The sequence below is a fragment of the Homo sapiens genome, chromosome 4, assembly GCF_000001405.40.
Source record: "Homo sapiens chromosome 4, GRCh38.p14 Primary Assembly".
In the NCBI taxonomy this organism is placed as follows: domain Eukaryota; kingdom Metazoa; phylum Chordata; class Mammalia; order Primates; family Hominidae; genus Homo; species Homo sapiens.
The window spans coordinates 34,896,430-34,921,650 of record NC_000004.12 but is presented as its reverse complement, the minus strand read 5'-3'; the positions used below and the strand labels follow the sequence as shown (position 1 = coordinate 34,921,650).

At 33.1% G+C, this 25,221-nt stretch overlaps 1 long non-coding RNA gene across 1 annotated transcript; it reads left to right on the top strand.

Moving 5' to 3' along the window:
• The first annotated feature begins 968 nt into the window (after positions 1-968).
• LOC107986272 (uncharacterized) lies at positions 969-19,041 on the top strand. Its single transcript, XR_001741655.1, has 3 exons — positions 969-1,168; positions 14,195-14,227; positions 15,618-19,041. It is a non-coding gene; the product is annotated as an uncharacterized LOC107986272 (long non-coding RNA).
• The last annotated feature ends 6,180 nt before the right edge of the window (positions 19,042-25,221 follow it).

Genomic DNA, 25,221 nt, shown 5'->3' with positions numbered 1-25,221 from the left:
AGCCCAGGCCAGAGGAAAGAAGTAATTTGGCATTTTAGCAAAATAAGACATCCTTCTTCACCTGAGTCAGCTCTTTTCATGTTATTAAAAACGTGTTTTTGAGATTTACTTTTTCTGTAAAAAACTAACTCCCACAGTTCCTTTTTTTCGCTCTTACTATTAAATTTTCAAGTATGCGTAGTGTCAGATAACCCCAATGTTATACTTTTTGTGTTAACAAATATGTACCTCTCCAGAATCTGAGATTCTGGGTATAAATCTGTGTTTTATAACAAAGTCCTCCATGTGTATCTTATGTGCTGTGGGAACTACTGTTGTATATATATCATGCACTTAGTATTTAATGGATTGTGGATCATATTATCTTTCATCTTCCCATCTGTCCTTTTTTGTTGTTGTTGGCTGCTTCTTTATAGGTTTTTTTCCTCAAAAGTATATAATGAGCAAACAAAGGTAAAGACATAATATGGCACAAATAAAGGCAAAAAGAAAGAGTGACTATTACATGACTATAAAATGTATAAAATACATAGCACATGGATTTAAAAGATAATAGTCAGGAAAGGAATGTGCCCTTCATAAAAACATATCAAGAACATTGATAATCTCATGATATTAGAGGCATCATAAACTCACTTAAAATTTTTAAGCAGCCAACAAAACTGTCTTTTTAATTTACTGAGAAAGTCACTGAAACCAAACCTAAGTAGCATTTGTCAGACAATGGAATTCATGCTTGTTATTTCTGGCTTAAGCCAAATAGTACGTGAAGCAATTAGTATTTAACATGGCCAAAATCATGAGATTATCAATGTTCTTGGTTTCAGTGACTCTCTCAGTAAATTAAAAGGGACAGTTTCAGATAGTGAGAATTCACAGGGATGGAAAATCAGAACTAATGAGAAAATCATGAATGTTCTTGGAGAAAGATAAGCTTTGGTGAGTTTTTCTGCTAGAGCGCTGGTCAGTGTAATACCTACACCAGCAGCATTGCCATTATCTGGAAACTTGTGGGAAGTGCAGATTCTTAAGTCTACCTCACACTTACTGACTCTGAGATTCTGGGAATAAATCTGCATTTTATAACAGTCTTCCATATATTTCTTATGTGCTCTGAGAACCAGTGAGCCACTGAACTAGATGAAAGAACTGCATGGAAAAATAATAGGTAAGGACATTGTGCATGTATGTATGTGCGTGTGCGTGTGTGTGCTTGTATGTGCTACTGTGTAGATAGAAACATTGTGTACGCAATATAGTCATTGGATATTGTAAAAAATGACATCTGCATGTTACAGCCATGTAACAAAAGCAGAAGTTCTGCAGTTGTCAAGAATGCAGTTTCTGTTCTCATGACCAAGTTATGATGATGGTGAATACTGATTCCCGCAGAGTGAAGATGGGCTTTAATATGTCTTCTCAGGGGAGGGCCTCTAGCATATTGATTCAGCATGTGGGCAGTGAAAATTATACTACCTGGGTTTCACTCTGACTCTCTCACTTAACTACATGCATAACATCAGGTCAGTTAGTTAATGTCTCTTGGCTTATGTTGCTAATTTATAAAACAGGGAAATCAGTAATAGTTATCTAATAGGTTTGTTATGAGGAATAAAGAATACTTATGCAGAACTTAAAAGAGTATATAAAAATAAACTTTTCATATTGTCTTATTTTGTGGGTTTATTCCTGGAATGAATAGGGTATATATTCTTAAATAGAATTACATGCACAGGGTCCATGTTCTACTACTGTGTATTCTCTAAGATATATGGAAATTCAAATTACACAGTGTATCTGCCTCCCTAAAATTAGAAAATGAATTTTAATTAATTTTTATAAAAATCATTAAGGTGATACCATAAATATTAGCATTTTTATTTGAAACAAATATTCTCTATAATCTATTTTTCCTTTTGTCCAAATGGCATTTTCCATATTTCATCTTTCATCATTGGCACAATCTCTTAATTTTGAAGCACAGAACTTCATCTTAACCAGACAGATGTGCTTTGCTAATTTTCCCAAGTTTTAACAGTGTGCCTGACACTCCATTTCCCTGACAATTTGGAGAAATCCCTTTCTGTCTTTGTCTGCAGTTTCTATGCTTTTGAGGGAGCTCTTTTACCCATTCTTTGAAGCAGGGCATCCCTGTCAGTCATTACAGCCTATTGTTTTTTTTCTGAGACTTGCACATTGATCCTTAATCTATGTCCCCTGAAAAGCTTCTAGGTTTTTTTTTTCATTGTTTCATTTGACTTACTAAGTTTACAGTTCTAATTAAAGGATTCTGGGTCACAGTTATAGCAGTTGCACACCATCGTTGCAAAGATCACAAAGATTCACTATAATTTCATACATCTGTCTACTCAGCCTTATCCACATCCCATCAGTTGTAGCAATCCTCTAAGTATCTAGCAGATTTTAACACTTATGTCTTTATTGGCAATAATCTAAAGAGGCCTTTGCTTATATTTGAAGCATAAAGGTACTGAAAAGTTACAATCTGTGATGCTGGCATTGGAAGATTTTGAATGCCTAAATCTCTTTGCTTCTCTAATGATCCCTTTTACTTTATAGTGCTTTCAAGCTACCTTCAAATAATTGAGCTGGAATTAAGTGAATCCTATAGTTAAGCTATCCTGTGGAAGCCAATGGGAGAGGAAACTGAAGGTCTTTCAGATTAAAAGTTCAAATTGTGATGATTGCACCTTTTAGCCTCCAAACTAGTTTTTACCTTGATCTCCCTAAGCCTGTTCAGTTCCTCATATTGGAAAGATTATGACATTTTAAAAATCACTTGTGGGGAGTATTCCATTTCAATTCAATGACTAAGACATTCCCTGGGCCTACAGTACTATCCTGCTGTGTTTCATCTTTTAATGTGGAAGTAATTCTTATGTTTTTAAACTTTTGTGGCTTTTTAAATCCCACAAGGAAATCTTATACTTTAATGTGAGATAGACTGAAAAAAATTATTCACTATACCTTGGCTGGTCCAAAAGGAAAAGCTTATCAAAGGTAGGGAAATGCTAGCCATAGCCATTTTAAACATCAGGAAGAAGAAATCACAGGACAAGGAGAAAACATCACACAAAACAGACTTTTGATGCAAGGAATTTTGATTTGAGATATCAAATCTGAATTTTTATTTTGTACAAATAGTATTTTCATAATTTCATCAGTAATATATATTCTTTGAAAAATATATAAATTATTTTAGAAGCAAGAGAAAGATATTTCCTCTACTTGAATACAAGCGTGGATCACAATACATTTTTTAGTTTTATACTATGCTTATACACATGGGCAGAAATAAAATAGTTATCTGAATTTTGCATTGTCTTATAAATTTATCCATACTGTTTAGACGTTTTCTAAAATGACTTTTAATACTCCTTTTATAGAAGAATCATAATTATGTGTTATCACATTTGTAAGATTTTTAAAAATCATAAATCAATTATAATGTTATGAGTATTTTTGTAAGTAAATCTTATCTCACTTATTTGACAATTTATTGTCTAATGCTAAATTTCTAGCAATGAAACTGACAGTTAATGATTTTGAGTTTTACATATATTGCAAATATTTCCTCCAGAAAAGTCATACCAAGTTTTGTCCCCAACTTTGGCAATAGTGTGTTTTATAAGTTAAAAAAAAAGTTTGGTTAAAAATGTAATTTTTTATTTGTATAAATTTAAGAGGTACAAGTGCAATTGTTACATGGATACATTGCTTCCTGGGGAAGTCTAGGGTTTTAGTGTAATCATCACCTTAAAAATGTACTTTGTACCTATTAAGTAATTTCTTATTCCCAATCCCCTCCCAATTTCTGACCCTTGTGAATCTCTCATGTCTGTTATTCCATACTCTCTGTTCATGAGTACATATTGTTTTGCTCCCATTTATAAGTGGGAACATATAAATGGCATTTGATTTTGTTTCTGGGTTAATTCACTTAAGATAACAGCCTCTAGTTCCATCCATGTTGCTGAAAAAGAAATGATATCATTATTTTATATAGCTGAATTATAGTCCATTGTATATAATACCACATTTTTATTATCTTTTCATCCTTTGATGGACACTTAGGTTGATTACATGTCTTTGTTATTGTGAATACTGCTGTGATAAACATACAAATGCAAGTATCTTTTTATTACAGTGATTTATTTTCCTTTGGGTAGATGCATAGTAGTGGGATTGATGGATGGAATGTTAGTTCTGTTTTTAGTCCTTGAGAAATCTCCATATTGTTTCCATAGAGGTTGTATTAATTTAACTTCACACCAACAGTATATAAGCATTTCCATTTCTCTGTATCCTCACCAACATACTTTTTTTTTTTTTTACTTTTTAATAATAGCCATTCTGACTGGTGTAAGATAATAAAATATATCACTGTGGGTTCGATTTGCAATCCTCTGATTAATGTGATGTTGAGCATTTTTCATATGTTTCTTGGCTATTTGTGTATATTCTTTCGAAAAATGTCTGGTCATGTCCGTTGTCCACTTTTTAATAGGGTTATTTGTTTTTTGTTGTTATCGTTGAGTTTTTAAATTCCTTGTATATTCTGGGTATTAGTCCCTTATCTGAAGCTTAGTTTGCAAATATTTTCTCCAATTCTGCAGGTAGTCTGCCCATTTTGTTGATTATTTATTTGCTGTGCGTTAGCGTTTTAGTTTAATTCAGTCTCACTTGTCTACTTTTTGTTTTTGTTTCATTTGCTTTTGAGGTCTTAGTCATGAATCTGTTGCTTAGGTCAATGTCCAGAAAGTTGTTTTCTCCCTAGATTTTCTTCTAGTACTTTTATGTTTTCAGGGCTTCTGTTTAAGTCTTTATTCCAGCTTGAGTTGATTTATGTATATGGTAAGAGATATGGGACTCAGTTTCATTCTTCCGCATATTTCTATTCCATTTTCCGTATACCATTTATTGAAAGGGTATCCTTTCCCCAGTGTATGTTTCTGTTGACTTTGTTAAACATTGGTTGACTGTAAGTATGCGGCTTTATTTCTGGGGTCTCTATTCAGTTCCATTGATCTATGCATCTTTTTGTTTGTTCGTTTGGGACAGGGTCTCACAATATCACACAGGCTTGAGTGCAGTGGTACAATCATAGCTCACTGAAGCCTCAAACAACTGGGCTCAAGTGAACCTCCCTTAGCCTTCCAAGTAGCTATGACTACTGGCACACACCACACTCAGGTAATTTTTTCATTTTTTGTAGAAATGGGATCTTGCTATGTTACCCAGGCTTGTCTTGAACTCCTGGCTTCAAACGATCCTCCTTCCTTGGCCTCCCAAAGTGCTAGGATTTCAGACATGATTCACCACACCCAGTCTTTATGTGTGCCTTGTCATATAATTTGAAGTCAGATAATACACTGCCTCTAGCTATTAATTTTTTTTAGGTTAAGATTGCTTTGGCTACTCAGGCTCTTTTTGGTTCCATATGAATTTTAGATTTTTTTCCTAATTTTGTGAAAAATAATGTTGATATTTAGATAGGAATTGCATTGAATCTGTAGATTGTGGTGGTATAGTCATTTAAATGATAATGATTCTTCTTATCCAGGAGCACAAGATGATTTTCCATTTGTTTGTGTCATCAACAATTCCTTCCTTCCTTCCTCCCTTCCTTCCTTTCTCTCTTTCTTTCTTTTTCTTTTTTTTTTTTTAAATCTCACTCTGTCACCCAGGATGTAGTGCAATGGTGCGATCATGGCTCACTGCAGCCTCCTCCTCCCAAGTTGAAGTGATTCTCCTGTAGCTGGGATTACAGGTGCCCACCACCATGCCAGGATAATTTTTATATTTTTAGTAGAGACAGGGTTTCACCATGTTTGTCAGGCTATCTTAACTCCCGACCTCAAGTGATCCACCTGTCTTGGCCTCCCAAAATGCTGGGATTACGGGCATAAGCCACTGCATCTGGCCCATCTACAATCTCTTCATCAGTGTTTTGTAGTTTTCCTTGTAGAGATTGTCTACCTCCTTGATTAAATGTATCCTTAATTCCAAATTATATTAACTTCTTGCTTTGGCTCTCAGTTTGATTGTTATTGGTATGAACATTCTACTGATTTTTGTACACTGATTTTGTATGCTGAAACTTTACTGAAGTCTTTTATCAAAGATAGGAGTCTTTTGAAGGAATCTTTCGGGTTTCCTAGGTATAAGATCATATCATCAGCAAACAAAGATTATTTGCTTTCTCTTTTCCAGTTTGGATTGTTTTATTTATTTTCTTTCTGATTGTTCTGTCTAGGCCTTCCAGTACTCTGCTGAATACAAGTGGTAAAAGAAGGCATCCTTTTCTTGTTCTAGGTTTTAGAATGAAGGCTTTCAACTTTTCTCTGTTCAGTAGGATATTGGTTGTGGGTTTGTTATAAACGGCTCTTATTATTTTGAGGTATGTTCCTTCAACTCTGGGTTAGTTGAGGGTTTTTATCATAAAGTGATGTTGAATTTTGTCAAATGCTTTTTCTAAATCTATTGAGATGATAGTATGCTTTTAGTTTTTAATTCTGTTTATGTGGTGAATCACATGTATTGATTATGGTATATTTAAGCATCTTTGAGACCTTGGAATAAAATCCAACTGACTATGGTGTATTATCTTCTTTATGTACTGTTGGATTTGGTTTGCCAATATTTTCTTGAGCATTTTTGCATGTATTTTCACCAGCGATATTAGCCTGTGGTTTTCTTTTTTTGTTGTGTTCTAGTCTGGCTTTGGCGTCAGGGTGATAATGGCTTCACAGAATGAGTTAAGAGGATTCCTCCTTCTTAATTTTCTGGAGGAGTTTAAGTAGGAATTGTGCCTGTTCTTCTTTGTATATCTGGTAAACTTTGGCTGTGAATCTGACTTGTGCAGAATTTTGCTGCAAATTCATCTAGTCCTAGGTTTTGTTATTGTTGTCGTTGTTGGAAGATTTTTTGTTATTAATTCAATTTCATAACTCATTATTTATTAATTCAGGATTTCTATTTCTTCCTTGCTAATATTGGGAGGTTGTATGTTTTCAGGAATTTATCCATTTTCTCTAGGTTTTCTAGATTGTGCACACAGAAATTTTTATAGTAGACTCTGATGAACTTTTATATTTCTGTGGTATCAGTTATAATCTCATTTATTATTTCCAATTGTGCTTATTTGAATCTTGTCTTTTTTGCTTAATTAATCTAGCTAGCGGTATATCAATTTATCATTTCAAAGAACCAATTCTTCCTTTTGTTGATTCTTTATATCTTTTTATTGTTGTTGTTCTCAATCTCATTTAGTTCTGCTGTGATTTTGTTATGTCTTTTATTCTTCTGGCTTTGGGTTTGGTTTCTTCTTATTTTCCTAGCTCTTTGAGGTGTGCTGTCAGGTTGTTAATCTGCAGTTGTTCTATTCTTTGATGAAGATATTTAACACTGTACACTTCCATCTTAGCACTGCTTTTGCTGTATCCCATGGGTTGTAATATGTTGTGTCTCCATTTTTGTTTGTTTCAATTTTTAAAACATTTCTAACAATTTCTTCTTTGACTTAAAGATCATTCAGAAGCACGTTACTTAATTTTCATGTATTTGTAAAGTTTCGAAAGTTTCTCTTGGCATTGAATTCTGGTTATTCTGATGTGCTCCAAGAAGATACGTGGTATGAATTCGATTTTAAAAAATTCACTGTGGCTTGTTTTGTGGCTTAACATATCTTCTATTTTGGAGAATGTTTTATATGCTGATTCTAAGGATGTATATTCTGTGGTTGTTGGGTAGAATGTACTCTAAATATCTGCTAGGTCTATTTAATCTAAAGTCCAATTTAAGTTTAGCGTTTCTTCACTGATTTTCTGTGTTGATGATCTGTTTAGTGTTGTAAGTGAGGTGTTGAAGTCCCCCAATATTATTGTATTGTTGTGTATGTTTTTCTTTAGGTATAGTAAAATCTTATTTATAATCTAGTTGCTTCAGTATTGGGACAGATATATTTAGAATTGTCATATCTTCTTGTTGAAGTGATCATTTTAGCATTATATAATGACCTTCTTTGTCTTTTCTATTGTTCTTGATTTAAAGTATATTTTATGGTATAATATAGCTACTTCTGCTCACTTTTGCTTTTCATTTGTGTAAATATATTTTACACCCCTTTACCTTCCGTCTATGTGTCTTTACCAGTAAGGGGCGCTTTTTGAAAGCAGCATATAGTTGGTTCATATTTTTTGATCCATATTCCACTATTCTAATTCTTTTAAGTGAGGCATTTAATTCATTTACATTCAAGGTCAATATTGGTATGTGAGGTTTTATTCCTATCATAATGTTATTTTTCATCTAGTATTGAAAATTCTGTTTCTTTTTTTTTTTTGTATTTGTGATTTGGTGGTATCCTGCTCTCTTCATATTATTTATTTCTTTTCCTCTTTTGCATATTTGTTTTATAACACCTGCGAGTTTTATACTTTCATGTGTTTTTATGATAGTGAATATTGATGTTTTATTTCCGTATATAAATCTCCTTTGAGCATTTCTTGTAGGGCCAGTCTAGAGGTGATGAAAAGCATTTGCTTTTCTAGGAAATACTTTATTTCATCTTAATTTATAAAGCTTGTTCTGATAGAAAATAGAATTCCTGGTTGGCAGTTTTTTGTCATTAAGCATTTTGAAAATAGAATCCCAATCTATCCTTGCTTGTAAGGTTTATGCTGAGATTCTCCACTGTTAGTCTGATGGGGTTTCGTTTAGAGGTGACTACAAGCTTTTCCATTGTTAATTTCAGGATGTTTCCTTCACGTTGACTTTAGACAGTCTTATGACTGTGTGATGTGGTATGGCCCTTCTTGTGATGTATTTATTGGAGTCTGCCAGCCTCTTGTATCTGGGTGTCTAAATCTCTTGCTAAACTAAGGAAGATTTCCTCAATTATTTCCTCAAATAGGTGTTCTATACTTTTTGTTTTTTCCACTTCCTCTTAAATACCTATGATTTATAAGTTCAGTCATTTTATGTAGTTCCATACTTGATGGCTATGTTCATATTTTTAAAAAATATTTTTTCTTTATTTTTGTCTGACTGGATTAACGTTTGTCTAAATGAATTTTTTCTGACTTGTCTTCAAATTCAGAGATTCCTTCCTCTACTTGGTCTAGTTGATTGCTGAAGCTTTCCACTGTATTTTGTCATTCCTCAATAATTTTTTTTTTATTTTCAGAAGTCTTCTTGGCTTTTTTTAAAAAAGATATCTATTTTCTTGATGATTTCTCATTCCTGACTTCTGTCTCCTTTCAGTGGTGTAAACTCTGTATGATCTCCCTGGTGATACAGAGCATTAGTGTGGTGGTTTTGTCAAATGGCAGTTATAGTAGCAATGTACCAATTGGGTGCCAGTAAGTGGTGCTCAACTTTTATTAACCAAGAGATACTCAGCTGTCCCAGGCAATGGGTTGGGCCATGGAACTCTCAGTGATCCCAGTCTGGTGCTCCTCCTCCAAGGTGGGAGGTAGCAGAGGTGAAGCTTGGTAGAGTTGTGATGGGTGATTGTACAAGCACTGGTCTCAACAGGAGTCAGATGGTAGTTCTCAGGCCCCTAGAGCAATGCTCCAGGCAGAAGCAGTGCAACTGCTGCCATACCAAAGACCCATCATAATAGTCCAGGCTCCACAGCCTAGCAGGTGGTGGTGGAATCCACTTCACACTCATGCTTCTGACCTGATTGGGTTCCCTCCCAAGGCCCAGTGCTGGCTGCAAGTTGGAACAGTTGGCTAAGTCATAAGCAGTTTTTCTTCAGACCGCAAAACCACCCAGGCTATAAAACTTGCTGCCTAAGTCAAAACTGTGGTTCTCAGGCTAAACCTTCCCTGGCCTAATCCCATGAAGTGGGGCTATCCAAATCCAGCGCCCATGGCTTGAGCTAACACCACACTCCTCTCTTAGTGATGGCTCCTCCTCCTTTGCTTTAGAGTAGATCACAAATCCCCATCCTGAGATTCTTCAAACATGTGACTGCTGCCCATTCTGACTGGCATGTTCCCATGCAGGCCCCTGTGAGTTAGGGTTAGAAATGGCTTCCTTTTATCAGTGCCCAGGTCTGCAAGTGTCTGCAGGGCATGTCACGGTGCCATTCCTTCTCAGTTTCTTTACTGCTTCCCAAGATTAAGGGCTTGATTAGGGTCAAGGAGCTCTCCCATAGCCTGGATCACCTGGCTCTTCAGGGGAAATGTGCATCTCAAAAACACTCTCTCCCCCACTGATGCACTGAGTATTCACTCACAGTTTTTTTGCCAGGTCCACCACGTGGGCTGCTACCCGCTTTATTTTTCCCTATACTTGAAGGTATGTTTGTTTTATGTGAACTCCTCTGTTGCTTCTTAGATATAGTTCACAGCGTGAATCTCTACATACTATATTATAATTTCTTAGTGGATGAGGCATGCTGTCTGTATTTTTCTGTTTTCATGCTGCTTATAAAGAAATACCCAAGACTGGGTAATTTATAAAGAAAAAGAGGTTTAAAGGGCTCACAGCTCCATGTGGATACAGAGACCTCATAATCATGGCAGAAGGTGAATGGCACATCTTACATGGCAGCAGAGTAAACAGAATGAGAGCCAAGCAAAAGAGGAAACCCCTTATAAAATCAGATCTCATGAGACTTATTCACTACCATGAGAACAGTATGGAGGGAAACCACCCCCATGATTCATTTTTCTCTCACCAGGTTCCTTCCACAACACATGGGAATTATGGGAGCTACAATTCAAGATGATATTTTGGTGGGGACACAGCCAAACCATATCATTCTGCCCCTAGCCCCTCACAAATCTCATGTCCTCATATTTCAAAACCTATCATACCTTCCCAACAGTCCCACAAAGTCTTAACTCATTTCAGCATTAACTCAAAAGTCTTCAGTCCAAAGTCTCATCTGAGACAAAGCAATTCCCTTCGTTATGAGCCATAAAATCAAAAGCAAGTTAGTGACTTCCTAGATGCAATGGGGGTACAAGAATTGGGTAAATACGCCATTAAAAATCTGAGAAATTGGCCAAAACAAAGGGTCTACAGGCCCCATGAAAGTTCAAAATCCAGGAGGGCAATCAAATCTTAAAATGACAAAATCATTTCCTTTGACTTCATAGCTCACCTCCAGATCATGCTGATGCAAGAGGGTGGGTTCCCATGGCCTTGGGCAGCTTTGCCCCTGTTGCTTTGCAGGGTACAGACCCCCTTTTGTCCTACTTCACAGTCTGGTATTGAGTTACTGTGGCTTTTCCAGGTGCATGGTGCAAGCTGTTGGTGGATCTACCATTCTGGGGTCCGGAGGATGGTGGCCCTTTTCTCACAGCACCACTAGGCACTGCCCTAGTGGGGACTCTGTGTGGGGACTTCAACCCCACATTTCCCTTCTGCACTGCCCTAACAGAGGTTCTTCAAGAGGGCTCCACCCCTGCAGCATACCTTTGCCTGTATATTTCCATACATCCTCTGAAATCTAGGTGGAGATTTCCAAACCTCAATTCTTGACTTCTGTGCACCTACAGGCTTAACACCACATGGAAATTGCCAAGGCTTGGGGCTTGCACCCTCTGAAGCAATGGTCCAAGCTGTGCCTTGGCCCTTTTTAGCCATGACTAGAGTCGGGGGATGCAGGGCACTAAGTCCCTAGGCTGTACATAGAAGGGGGCCCTGGACCCTGCCCATGAAACCATTTTTTTCTTCTAGGCTCCAGGCTTGTGATGATGGGATGGGCTGCTGCCAAGGTCTCTGACATGCCCTGGAGATATTTTCCCCATTGTTTTGGTGATTAACATTTGGCCCCTCATTACTTATGCCAATTTCGGCAGCCAGCTTGTATTTCTCCTCAGAAAATATGTTTTCTTTTCTATCAATTGTCAGGCTGCAAATTTTTTGAAGTTTTATGCTCTGTTTCCCTTTTAAAACTGAATGCTTTTAACAGCATCCAAGTCATATCTTGAATGCTTTGCTGCTTAGAAATTTCTTCTGCCAGGTACTCTAAATCATCTCCCACAAGTTCAAAGTTCCTCATATCTCTAGGGTCAGGAAAAATGCCACCAGTCTCTTTGCAAAAACACTGAAAGAGTCACCCTTACTCCAGTTCCCAACAAGTTCCTTATCTTTATCTGAAATCATCTCAGTCTGGATTCCATTGTTCATAACATTATCAGCATTTCGGGCAAAGCCATTCAGCAAGTCTCTAGGAAGTTCCAAACTTTCCCACATTTTTCTGTCTTCTGAGTTCCTCAAACTGTTCCAATCTCTGCCTGTTATCCAGTTCCAAAGTCACTTCCACATTTTCAGGAATCTTCACGGCAGCATCCTACTTCCAGTACCAATATACTATATTAGTCTGTTTTTACTCTGCTGATAAAGACACACCTGGGGCTGGGTAATTTATAAAGAAAAAAATTAAAGTTCCACATGGCTGAGGAGGCTTCACACTCATGCTGGAAGGCAAAAGGCACCTCTTACATGGTGGCAGACAAGAGAAATGAGAGTGAATCAAAAGGGGAAACCCCCTATAAAATCAGATCTAATGAGGCTTATTCCCCACCATAAGAAGAGTATGGGGGAAAATTGCCCCCATGATTCAATTATCACCCACTGGGTTCCTCCCACAAGATGTGGGATTATGGGAGCTACAATTAAAGATGAGATTTAGGTGGGGACACAACCAAATCATATCACTCTCAAAGCTTCCTCTCCACCATTTTTTGAGGGAAAAAAAGATAAATTAAAAGAGATCTTATTTCAAACATTGTTTATTGCTTCACTAGAGAAAACTGACCCTGCTTTTTATATTTTTATTTTAGGTTTTGGGTTGGTCTCATTTATTCTTAACTTTTCTGTCATTCTTGTCAACAGAGAAAAGTAGAATTCTTCTTCTAATTTTTGCAGCATTATCCTTATTTATTACACAGTTGTATAAAGAAGTTTTATTAACTTTTAGATATTTTACATTTCAAATAGTATTTCTAGCAAAATACAATAGGGGCCCTAAACTGTTTCTTTGCTAATTTGTCAGAAGCTAGAAAATCTGATTATATTTCTGCTCATGTTGAAGTTTGTACCTGCTAGAAAACTTGAAAGAATTATAAAGGCCAATAGAAAAGGAGAAACTCATTTTGCTTGAAAGAACTCTAGATAAAGAGTAAAGAACCTAAGACCTTCTTATTTCTGTTTACTATCATATCATAAAAGCAGTCGAACAAAATATTGTTATTCTGACCTTTCCCCTTCTTGGCAATGTTTGTGTAACATATTGATCTTGTTTTTATAACACTTTCTCGAGGAATTGCATATAGATGTTATATTTCTAGTCTTTTTCTCACCCTCCCATGCAAACCAGTTCACAAATTTGTAGAAATAAAATCTAAAAACCATGATCCTCTTCAACTATAAATACTTTGGCAAAAATGTTATATAAACTCATCTAAAGTATTGAATTTGTATCCAATGACAGGAAACAGTATTATCTGCTTGTCTGTAGCTTGTTTTTCTTACTTTTTAAAACTTTATGGAAATATTACCATATAAGTCTCCATAATACACTAATCAAACATTATTACTGAATGCATAATATCCTACGTTTTGTATAGTTTTATGTCGTTTTAACTATGGTTTTTATTAACAAGCATTCACATTATTTATATTTTGGGTTTTTTCTGTTATAAAAATACTATAAAAATACAAGTATTCTCTTATGTACAAATATACAAATATATATACTGTGTCATTATAGAACTTATGAAGTTTATATCTATCAATCAATATCTTATAACAGATGTTATCAGATTGCTTTCTAAAATTATTGAATGATTCACATTTTTAACAAAGTATGTAAGCACAAATTTTTATTCAGTCCCTGGAAGGAATAAATATCATCTGTCCCATGTTTGGCAATATGATGGGTATAAAGTGTTATACTAGTGTTTTTTTTATTTTTCATATTTGTGATTACCAATATTTTTGAAAATTTTCTATCATGGTTTTTATCTATTTATAATTCCTGTTCTTTGACCTGTCTTTTTATGTCCTTTTCCTATTTTCAATGGGTAAAATTGAATTTTTTTCATGATTCCTAAATGCCCTTTTAATATTACAACTATTACCCACATATCTGTCATTTGTACTATAATATTTTAAATTTAGTGTTTCTTTTAAAATTTTTCTTTCAAAGGTTTATACAGACTGCTGTTTCGTAAATGTTCAAGTAAGTCAAATTGTTTTCATTCCATTTTTGTTTAATAAGTATTCTGTTACTTTAGAAATACTAACTTCAGATTTTAAAATTAAATATTTTAGCTTAAACTTCAATATGAAAGTTTTGCTCTTCTTGACTTTCTTCAAGTAACTTTGAAAAGCAATTAATAAGAAAACTGTTATTTTATCCATATGATTGTCAGGTTTATGAAAGAAAGTTGTTCTTTGTTCACTTGTAGATATCATTTTTAATTACTAGCTTCTATTTTTCAAAACAACTTGTAGTCTTGCTGAGTCTCATAAATTTTTTGAAAAACAAAATTATATATCTATAGTTAAAAGCTACTGACAAATTCATACCAATATTAATAGTTTTTTAACAAAAAGGGAAAAGGGCCACAGGCCACATCACTAAAAGGAAAAAAAATGCAATAATCAGCTTTGATAGCCACATGTATTAGTCCATTCTCTCACTGGTATGAAAAGATACGTGAGGTCGGGTAATTTATAAAGGAAAGAGGTTTAACTGACTCCCAGTTCCACATGGCTGGGGAAGCCTCAGGAAACTTACATCATGGTGGAAGGGGAAGCAAACACATCTTTCTTCACAAGGAGGCAGGAGAGAGAAGTGTCAAGCAATGCAGCGAAAGCCCCTTATGAAACCATCAGATATCATGAGAACTCACTCACTTTCAGAATAGCATGACCGTAAAAGCCCCCATGATTCAATTACCTCCCACTGTGTCTTTCCCATGTCATGTGAAGATTAGGGGAACTACAATTCAAGATGAGATTTGGGTGGGGACATGCCAAACCATATCACCATTATCTAGAAAATTTATAGATATTTCTGCACAATGCTTTACCTATAGGTATATTAAAATTAAGGAAAAAACACTGGAATTGAAATAACTGCAAAACTGCAACATTACATAAAGAAGATCCTAAGGAAAAAAGTGTATAAGATATTTTATAATACAGTAAATATTTCACTTTTTAATTTAGAGACCAAGTATGGTGCTGTCACCCAGGCTGGAGTGCAGTGGTGCAATCATAGCTCACTGCATCCTCTAACTCCTGGGTTCCAGGGATTCTCCTGCCTCAGCCTCCTGAGAAGCTGGGACTACATATGCATACCACCATGCCCAGAAAATACAATTAATATTACACAGTATATAGAATTGAGCTAGGCTTGGAATCTAGAATTGTCTTACCTCAAAGCCTGATGATACATGATTTTATTTTTTCACTTCATTCACATTTATGGAACCAGTGAATATATTTTCTTACATGGCACAGTGACTTTTCAGATGTAATTAAGAATGTATACCTTAAAATAGGGACAGTATCCTGGTTTGCCCAGGTGGGCCCCATCTAATCCCATGTACCCTTGAAAGCAGAGAACTTCCTCCAGCTAGAAGCAGAAGAGAAGAGGCAGAGGGGCAAACAGAAGGATTCAAAATATAAGAAAGACTGAATGCTCTGTTGGTTTGACAATGGAGGAGCCACTTCAGAAGAAATGCAGGTGTCATTAAGGAGCAGAGAGATTACCAGCTGACAGTAAGTATATGGGAATCTTAGACTTACAAATACACAAAACTTAATTTTGCCAACAATTCAAATGATCTTGTAAGTGGATTCTACCTGATAGTCTCCAAAAAAGAGCCCAGGAGAGCTGACTTTGATTTTAGCCTTTTGGGCAAATAAATCAAGTCCATCTGGTTCTATCTTCACTTCTGTGAGGTAATAAATAAATATTTTAAGTTGCAAATTTGCATTGATTTTGTTTAAGAAATAAATAGTACATTAGTATAAATACCTATAGAGCAAAAGACGAGACAAAACTTATTTTGTCAGAATATTGAGAAATGTCCACCAAACACATGATTAACTAACTAGATGAAGAGGAGAAAAAAAAAATGGTAGCAAACACAGAAGCCTGCTATACTGAGAGAAAGCAAGATGTTGCAATATCTAGTGCCCTTCCATCCCCATAGTCACCACATGGGTTTAAAAGATTTGGCTCTATAAGAAATAGACAACCAAGTAGTGTTATTCTTGCCTAAATTCAATCAGAGTATATTGCCAAATCACAGAGTTTCTAAATCAAGTAGAAGTTTGCAAATATGAATAAGTGGCAGATTCTTCCTGATAGGGCCACATTGTATTAGGTTGGTTCAAAAGTAATTGTCACTAAAAGTAATGGCAAAAAACACAATTACTTCTGCAGCAACCTGACATCTTGAGGTGGCAGTGTGCTCAAAAATTTGTAGTAGCAAATTCAAATAGAAAATTCCAAAGAAAAAAAATGCAAAGATGAAATAAACATAAAAATAGCTCTAAAACAAAACTCTGTTAGCAAGGCATTTTTAGAACATAACTTTTTGTGTACTTGTTTCAGCTTGACAGAGGACTATTTTAGTGGGTAGAATACGCTGCCCCAAAACTTAATACCTGCTATGTTCATGGAATTTAGTTTTTAATTAGATCTAAACGTTGTATATAACCACTATTTAATTAATGAGTCAAGTAAAAGGCCATAAAAACCCTATTATAAAAGATCTCTATACATTTATAAATTGTGTGTGTCTGTGTGTGTATGTATTTAGAGAGACAGCAAACAGTCTAGCAAACAAAAAAATGCTGAAATTGAAGACACTTTTAGAAGAAAACTGCTTAGATTCTGGTGGAGGATGCACAAATAAATGGCTCTTTGTAGGAAAAAAAATTCACTTGAACAAAAGAGAGACAAGGGAAAAACGAATAATGAATGCAACAAATTGAAAATGTCTAAATAAAATTAATATAAAATATGGCAAAATGTTCTATATAAATAATGGAAGACATATTTATTAATGTGGAGAATAAATTTCTTAAGCTTTTTTCTTAATTAAGGGAAAAAAACCAGAAGTGATTGGAATGTTAATAGTTTTAGCTATGGAAAACTATGAATCTTAACTATGAATAACAGAAGATAAATAGAAGAAAAACATTATAAAAGACAAATTGAGTTAAAGTATGTTCTGAGTAAAAATTACACAAAGCAAGTCAAAAGGAATTCTATTTATTCCAAGGATAAAGGAATAGTCTAGAACATTCAATTAGGAAAATGAAATGTCTAATATGGTAAAAATAAAGTTTTTCTTTGCAGATGTAAATGGAAGATGAAAAGAAAACAATTATGATAATTTGAAAATGACACATTTATGTTTAGCTTCAAGACAGAGTAGAGATTTAAAGTAAATTGTAGTATTTTATACTTTTAAAATAGAAGATAATATTATATATGCATCAGAATATTTTCAGACCTCCATTTGATAATCTGTAATCCAAAACAAAAATACACCAAGGAGCTGTATTAATTAAAGGTCCTCACTAAAGCTATGTTTATATATTTCCAAAACTATTCAAACACAACAATTTTTAAGTGGAAATGTCTATTTTTTCTTTTCTTTACTTAAATTTGAAAACTTAATTTTTTTCTCCATAAAAATGAACATTTATTAACATTATAGAAACTTGATTATTGTGTTACACTTTCCTTTTGACTCTTTATGACATGTCTGCTACATGGTCTATGTGGCATAAGTTTGGTGTGACAGGTATGATACACAGGTCGCATAATTGGTCCATATGAGGAAATCAAAAATTAGTTTATTGACCTTGGTAATTTGATTTTACTGCCATGTTAAATAGGTAACCAAAAAAAAAATTGCCAAATCCTATCTGACTTCATAAAGATTCATTTTGAATTCTCTTGTCAGAGTAAAGAACATTATTTATTCTAATTTAGCCAATAGCTAATGTATGAAATGAATACTAGAAATATTTACTATGTTTATGGAAGTAAGGGAAGGTTATTCAGATTTTTAAAAAATGCCATTCGACAGAATGTTATCACCAGTGATTGTATTTGAAAAATATACTGCATCTAAAGATACATTTGAGGTCGAATATGTTGAGAATTTACAAGTGAAACAAATAAATGCAATCTATACAGTGTGGTGCAACGCAAGCGGAGTCAGGGTTTTGTGAACCCTGAGAGAAAGAAAGATGAAGAGACAGCTGCTATCCCTTCCCTGGTGACATTCCAGTGCCTCGTCTTTCCCACTGCGAGCCTGGAATAGGGAGATGGTGCTGTATCTGTAACATGAAAATCATATATTTTAAAATCACGTAAGTCATGTCACATCATGCCTTTATTAGACAGATATTCTTATTGAAAGAAATTTACACAACGGGTATAAAATGATAACGAGATTTATTTTCTTACATATATATTTTAAATTTTTCTACATCACTAAACGTAATATATATGAAATTACATTACCAAGCAATAGGCTTATATTGTCTATCATAGCCATACCGCAGCCACTACCACTACCACTTTTGGCCACATACACTGTGGTAAGTCCAATATGAGTTGTATCATAACTATAAAATACACAGTGAATTTCAAATTATTTGTGTGATAAAAATAATGTAGAAAATGTATATATTACATACATATATATGTACATATACATAATAAAATGATGTAGATGTAGATACCAAAAGCCATTCAGTCTTTTATCACTGAACATGATGTTAGCTCTAGGTATAAAGTTGTTGCCCTTTATCAACTTAAGGAAATCAATTTATATTGCTACATTGATCATTTTTAAAATAAAACATTTACTAGATTTTGTCAAGTGCTTTTTTTAAATCTATTGAGACAGTCATATGTTTACTTGTTTGTTTGTTTGTTTTTAGTCTATAATATGTTGAAAACCCTCGATTTGTATTCAAATGTTAAACCACTCCTTCATTTCTTGGGTGAACTCTGCTAGCCTATATATATAGCAAATATATATATATAGCAAATATATATATATAGCAAATATATATATATAGCAAATATATATATATAGCAAATATATATATATAGCAAATATATATATATACACATATATTTGTTTTTTAATGTACTGTATAGTTGGATTTCATTTGGTAAAATTTTAGAAAGTTTTATATCTTAGTTTATGAAATATGGATATGTAGTTTTCTTATGACATTTTTTTTTGTTTTTTTTAATCAGGTGATTGCTAAACTTATAAAACGAGTTAAACATGTTTGCTCCTCTTTTCTAGATAAACTTCTTCAGAATTGGGATTATTTCTCCCTTAAATATTTGAAAAAAATTAGCAGTGAAGTCACTGGTGCCTGGAGTTTTCTTGGTGAAATGGTTTTGTAACTATAATTTTAATTTTTTAGTAAACATTGAGGTATACAGATTATCTCTTCTTGAGTTAACTTTGGTAGTTCATGCCTTTCAAATTTTTTTTGTTTAATATAAATTGTCAAATTTATTGGAATAACTTTGTGTTTATAATATGTCATCATTTCAAATAGATGCAAAATCTATACTAATGGCATTTTTCTCATTATTGATGCTGTTAACTTATGTAATCTTTTTCTTTCTTGGATATTTTGCCTAGAGGTTTGTTAATTTTATCAGTATTATAGAAGAAATGATTTTGGTTTTATTAATTTCTTAATAATTTTTCTATTTTTTAAATTGCTTTCTGCTCTTATTTCCTTTTGCTTACTTTGGATTTATGGACTCTATCTTTATTTTTAATTTCATAAGAAGGGAGCTTAGAGCAAGATTTTGAGATTTGTTATCTAATACGGTCACTTGTGTCATAAGTTTTCTTCCAAACAGTGCTTAACATGCATTCTATAAATTTTGATGTTATCTTTTTAGTTTCCTTCCATTGAAATTGCCTTCTATTTTCCCATATTATTAACTATGAGACCTATAATTAGGTAGAACTGTATTTCATAGTTTCTAATTCCATCTTTCTTCTATAATTGATTTTTAGTTTAATTCTATCGTTGTTAGAAAACATATGCTGTATTATATGATTTTTTTTTACATTTTTTGAGATGTGTTTTATGGCCTAAAAGATACATATGCTCTATTGTGGTATATCTTTGTGCTTTTGAAAAGCATGTGTATCCTGTTGTTAGATGAAGTTCTCTACAGATGTCAATTCATTTGAATAGGCTGATAGTGTCATTTAGGTCTTTTATATTTTTACTAATTTTCAATTAACGGTCTACCAATTTTTATGAGAGAGATGTTAAAATATCCAACTATTTCTGTTTCTCCTTTCTGCTCTAATCATTTCAACTTTATGTAATTGAAAGCATAATTATTAGACCATATAACTATTTATAATTATTATGTCCTCTTAATTAATAATTCCTTTACTGTTATGATATATCTCATATAACCAACCCTCTTTATTCCTGGGGATATTCTTGCTCTGATATCTACATTATCAGAGGTTAGTATAAAAACTCCAGATTTATTTAAATAGTGCTGACATACATATCTTCTTAAATACTTTCATTTGTAACATTTGCATATTCATATTTTAAGTGGTTTTCTTGTAGGCAGGAGATATCTGCATATCTCCATTTTTGAACTGTCCATCTGTTCCTTTTTATGAGGATGTTTGGAATATGTACATTTATTGTGATAACTGATACACTTTGGTTTAAATCCACCACTTATTTACTTATAGTTTATTTGCCCTATCCATCCATTATTTATTCCATTTTTCTCATTTTTATAAATTTTGCAATTTTATAAATCAATTTGTTACTTTTGTTACCTTTTGAGATACTCTTTTTTCATGGCTGTTCTATAGTTTATAGCATATAATTGTAATTTATAACAACTTGCTTTCAAATAATATGTGATTTCTTATACAAGAAACTTAATATAGCATGCTTCTATTTCTCCTTTCCAGATCTTTGTGATATAAATGGTCATATGTTTATTTCTTTTCTCATAATATCAGCTTTTACTTTAGATTTGGAGGGTACATGTGCATTTTGTTACGTGGGCATATTGCACGATACTGAGGTTTAAAATACAAATGATCCTGTCACCCAGGTGTGAGCATGGTACTCAACAGTTAGTTTAATTTCTATATATATATATCTATATATATATAAAATATATATAATACATATAGTTGCTATTTTCACTTTTAACTCGAGTATATTGTAAAGATATGTAAATTATAAGAATAACATTTCATATTTAGCCATATATTCATAATTTTTACATATCCATATTAACATCTGGTATGTTTTTTCTTCTGGTGGAAGAAGTGATTATATAATTTCTTGTTTTATAGTTCTGTGGTGATGAATTCTTTCAACTGTTGCATGTTTGAAAAATTTTTAATATCACCATTATTTTAGAGCTATTTTGATGATTATTGAATTGCAGGCTGATAGATGTGATTTTCTTTTAATGATTTAAATATTTTGTTATTTTGTTTTCTAATGAGAACTTGGCTGGGTTTTTTTTCATTTTGTTTTTTAATTTTGATGTACTCTGTTTTTAAGATTTTCAGTTCTAATCAATTTAATTAGATTGTGTCCTATAACTTAGTTTTTCATCATGTTATTCATGCCTGCGATTTTTAACTGCTGGATTTATAGATTTATAGCTTTTGTCACACTTGGAAATATTTCTACATAATATCTTTAAAGAATTTTGTGTCCTTCCCTCTACTTCTTTTCAACAACTCTAATAATCTGTATATTGGACTGCTTGAAGTAACTCTCAGCTCCCTGATATTCTGCAGTTTTGTCAGTCCTTTTTTATGTGTGCTTTTATTTTTGATACTTTGTATGATTATATATTTTTATTCACCAATATTTTCAAACACAGCGGCTACTGTTCCTTTCAGTTTGTGAAATCCAGTGTATTTCTAAAATAAAATTTACTTTTATGTAAGTTTTAGGTTGTAGCAAAACTGACAGGAAGGTAGAGGGATTTCCCTTATAACTCCTGTTCATACACATGCTTAGCCTTTTCCATTATCAACATCTTCCACCAGAGTGGTACATTTGTTACAATGAATAAGCCTACATTGACATAATTATCATTCAAAGACCAAAGTAAATAGTGTTGTCCATTCTATGAGTTTACACAAATATATAATGACATGTGTCTACCATTATAGTATTTTACAAAACACATACTACAGTCAGAATTCAATTTTGATTTACCAATAATGAAACATTTTGGGGTGATGGGCATGATGGCCTTTATCAAATGTTAGTAGATGTCTGATTGCCTTATGTGTAATAGAAAAAATACACAATTACTGAAAATTTCATAATCAATGAACTTGAATTTTTTCTGCACATACTACTTGTTTATAGTATTTATTTAGATAGTTTAAAATTCTGGCCTATCAAGTAATATTCAAAAGAATATTTGATAAATTATATCTATTAATATTAGCCAAACAGAAAATAGCCAGTGATAATGCAGACTAAATAAAAATAAACAAAACATTAGTTATAAATAAGCCACTTCAATCTTTTACACTGATAAGTAAAAGCTTATGCACACTAATTAAAAAGAAAAATTACTTGATTACAAACTGAAAGCAGGTGATTTAATATTATCATTTAATTTCAATTTTTATTTCCTGCCAAAATATTTGAAATGTCAATTGAAAAATCTGTTGGATGGTAAACTGGTTTCTGTATAGATATTTTATATGAATCAATGTTCATGTAGCTTGCAATGGATTAATTTCTATTTACATTTATTGTAATTTTTAAAATATTTGTATAACCATAAATTGATTAATATTTTATGCTTTTCATTGTATGTAAGATCTACTTTGAAATGAATATGGTTACTAAGGCACCTGAAATTTGGTATTTGGATTACTACTCACAAAATGTCCTTTAATTTTTAAGAAAAAGTTATGAAATGTGGACAATATAGAATCAGAGAATGTTTAATTATTTACATTTATTCAATGTTATTATTTTTGAGTTGTAACATTTATGTAATTAGGCAATTTATGAATAGTTTAATGCAAGAACATTTTTACTCAAAAAGCTTTAACACTGCTTTGAGTTATGCAGGACTCCTCTAAGCTATTACTGCCATTTACAGATTTAATATTTAGCTTGTAATAGTTTACTTATTTATTACAATCTTATTTTCCTTTCTTAAAAAGTGATTAGTACACTAAAACTAAAGCCACTGATTAAATGGGGAACTCTTCAGCTGCATTTGGTTGAAATCATTGCCACAGTAAATAATGACAATAAACAGAAACAAGATAGAATTATATCAAACTATGCTTTTGAACAGAGAATGAAGTCTGCAAATATTTTCGTAAACCAATCTCTATAGATCATTTAAACTAGAAACTTTAGTTCTGGAAATCAAGAAAGTAGCAACAATGAGTAGAAGTAAATTTTAAATGAACAAATAGAATGCTGTTTTGTTTTGTTTTTGTCGGGAAACATCTTTTTTATTTCATTCTCAATGGGTCTCCCTCATAACCTGAATTATAGTTTTGAGTTAGGAGAGATGATGCTTGTCTTTAACTAACCTTGATTGTTTCTACTTATGACAGATTGGAAATATTTGGAAGTAGATTAAAATTTGAAACGGTGTCTTTAACCTTAATTTTGCTGAGTTAATTATGAGAAATATTTTCCATCAGAGGCTAAAAGATAAAGAAAATAATTCTATACTCATATTTTTATTAAGCATATAAAAAGTAATATAAAGTGCATTACATAAAGTAATATATATTTATAAAGAGTACATATTTTTATAAAGAGTTATGAAATAAATATTGTATTGCCATGAAGCAATTAAGTGTTATGAAAAGCTTTTAAATTACTTCTGGATTTTCTTTCAATTTTATGTCTTAAAATGCATACTTATTAAAAAATACATATTTTGAGTTGGTTTTTGTGCATGATGTGGAAGAAAAGTTTAATATCATTACACAAGGTATTGCATCAAACTGAAAAGCTTCTGCACAGCAAAAGAAATAAGAGTGAAGAGACAACCAACTGATTGGGAGAAAATATTTGTAATTTATACATCTGATAAAGGGGCTAATATCCGAAATATATAAGAAACTCAACTCAATATCAAGAAAACATGAACCCGATTAAAAAATAAGCTAAGGACATAGCTAGACATTCTCAAAAGAAAAACAAATGGACAATAGATACACTATATTAAAAAATGCTCATAACCACTGTATTCGTCTATTCTCACACTGCTAATAAAGACATACCGAGCCTGGATAATTTATAAAGAAAATGAGGTTTAATGGACTCACAGTTCCACATGGCTGGGGAGGCCTCATGATCATGGCATGATGTGAAGGAGGAGCAAAGGCACGTATTATATGGTGGCAGGCAAGAGAATGTGTGCAGGGGAACTGTGCTTTATAAAACCATTGGATCTCATGAGACTCACTGTCACAAGAATAGCATGGGAAATTCCACCCCTATGGTGCAATTACCTCCCACCAGGTCCCTCCCATGACAGGTGGGGATGATGGGAACTACAGTTCAAGATGAGATTTGGGTGGGAACACAGCCAAACCATATCAATCACTAATCATAAGAGAAATGTAAATTAAAACCACAGCGAAGTATCACCTCACACCCCTTAGAATGGCTATTTCCAGAAAGATGAAATGTAGCAATTGCTAGCAAGGGTGTGGAGAAAAAGGAGTTTATGTATCAATATAAATTGATACGGCCATTATGAAAAACAGTACGAAGTTTCCTCAGAAAACAAACACAGAATTATTACATGATCCAACAGTCCCACTAATGGATATATATCCAACAAAATTGAAATCAGTATGCCAGAGGTATCTGCACTCCCTTGTTCATTGCATTAATCACAGTAGGTAAAATATGAAAGTAACCTAGGTGTCCATCATTGGATAAACGGATTTAAGAAATGTAGTCTATATTAGCAATGGAACACCAGTCAGGCTGAAAAAGGAGAGAATTTTGTTATTTGCAACAACTCAGATGCACTTGGAGGACATAATGCTAAGTGAAATAAGCCAGACAGAAAAAGACAAATACCACATGGTCTCAATTATATGTGGAACTTTAAAAAGTCAACTTCTATAAGTAGGGAGTAGAATG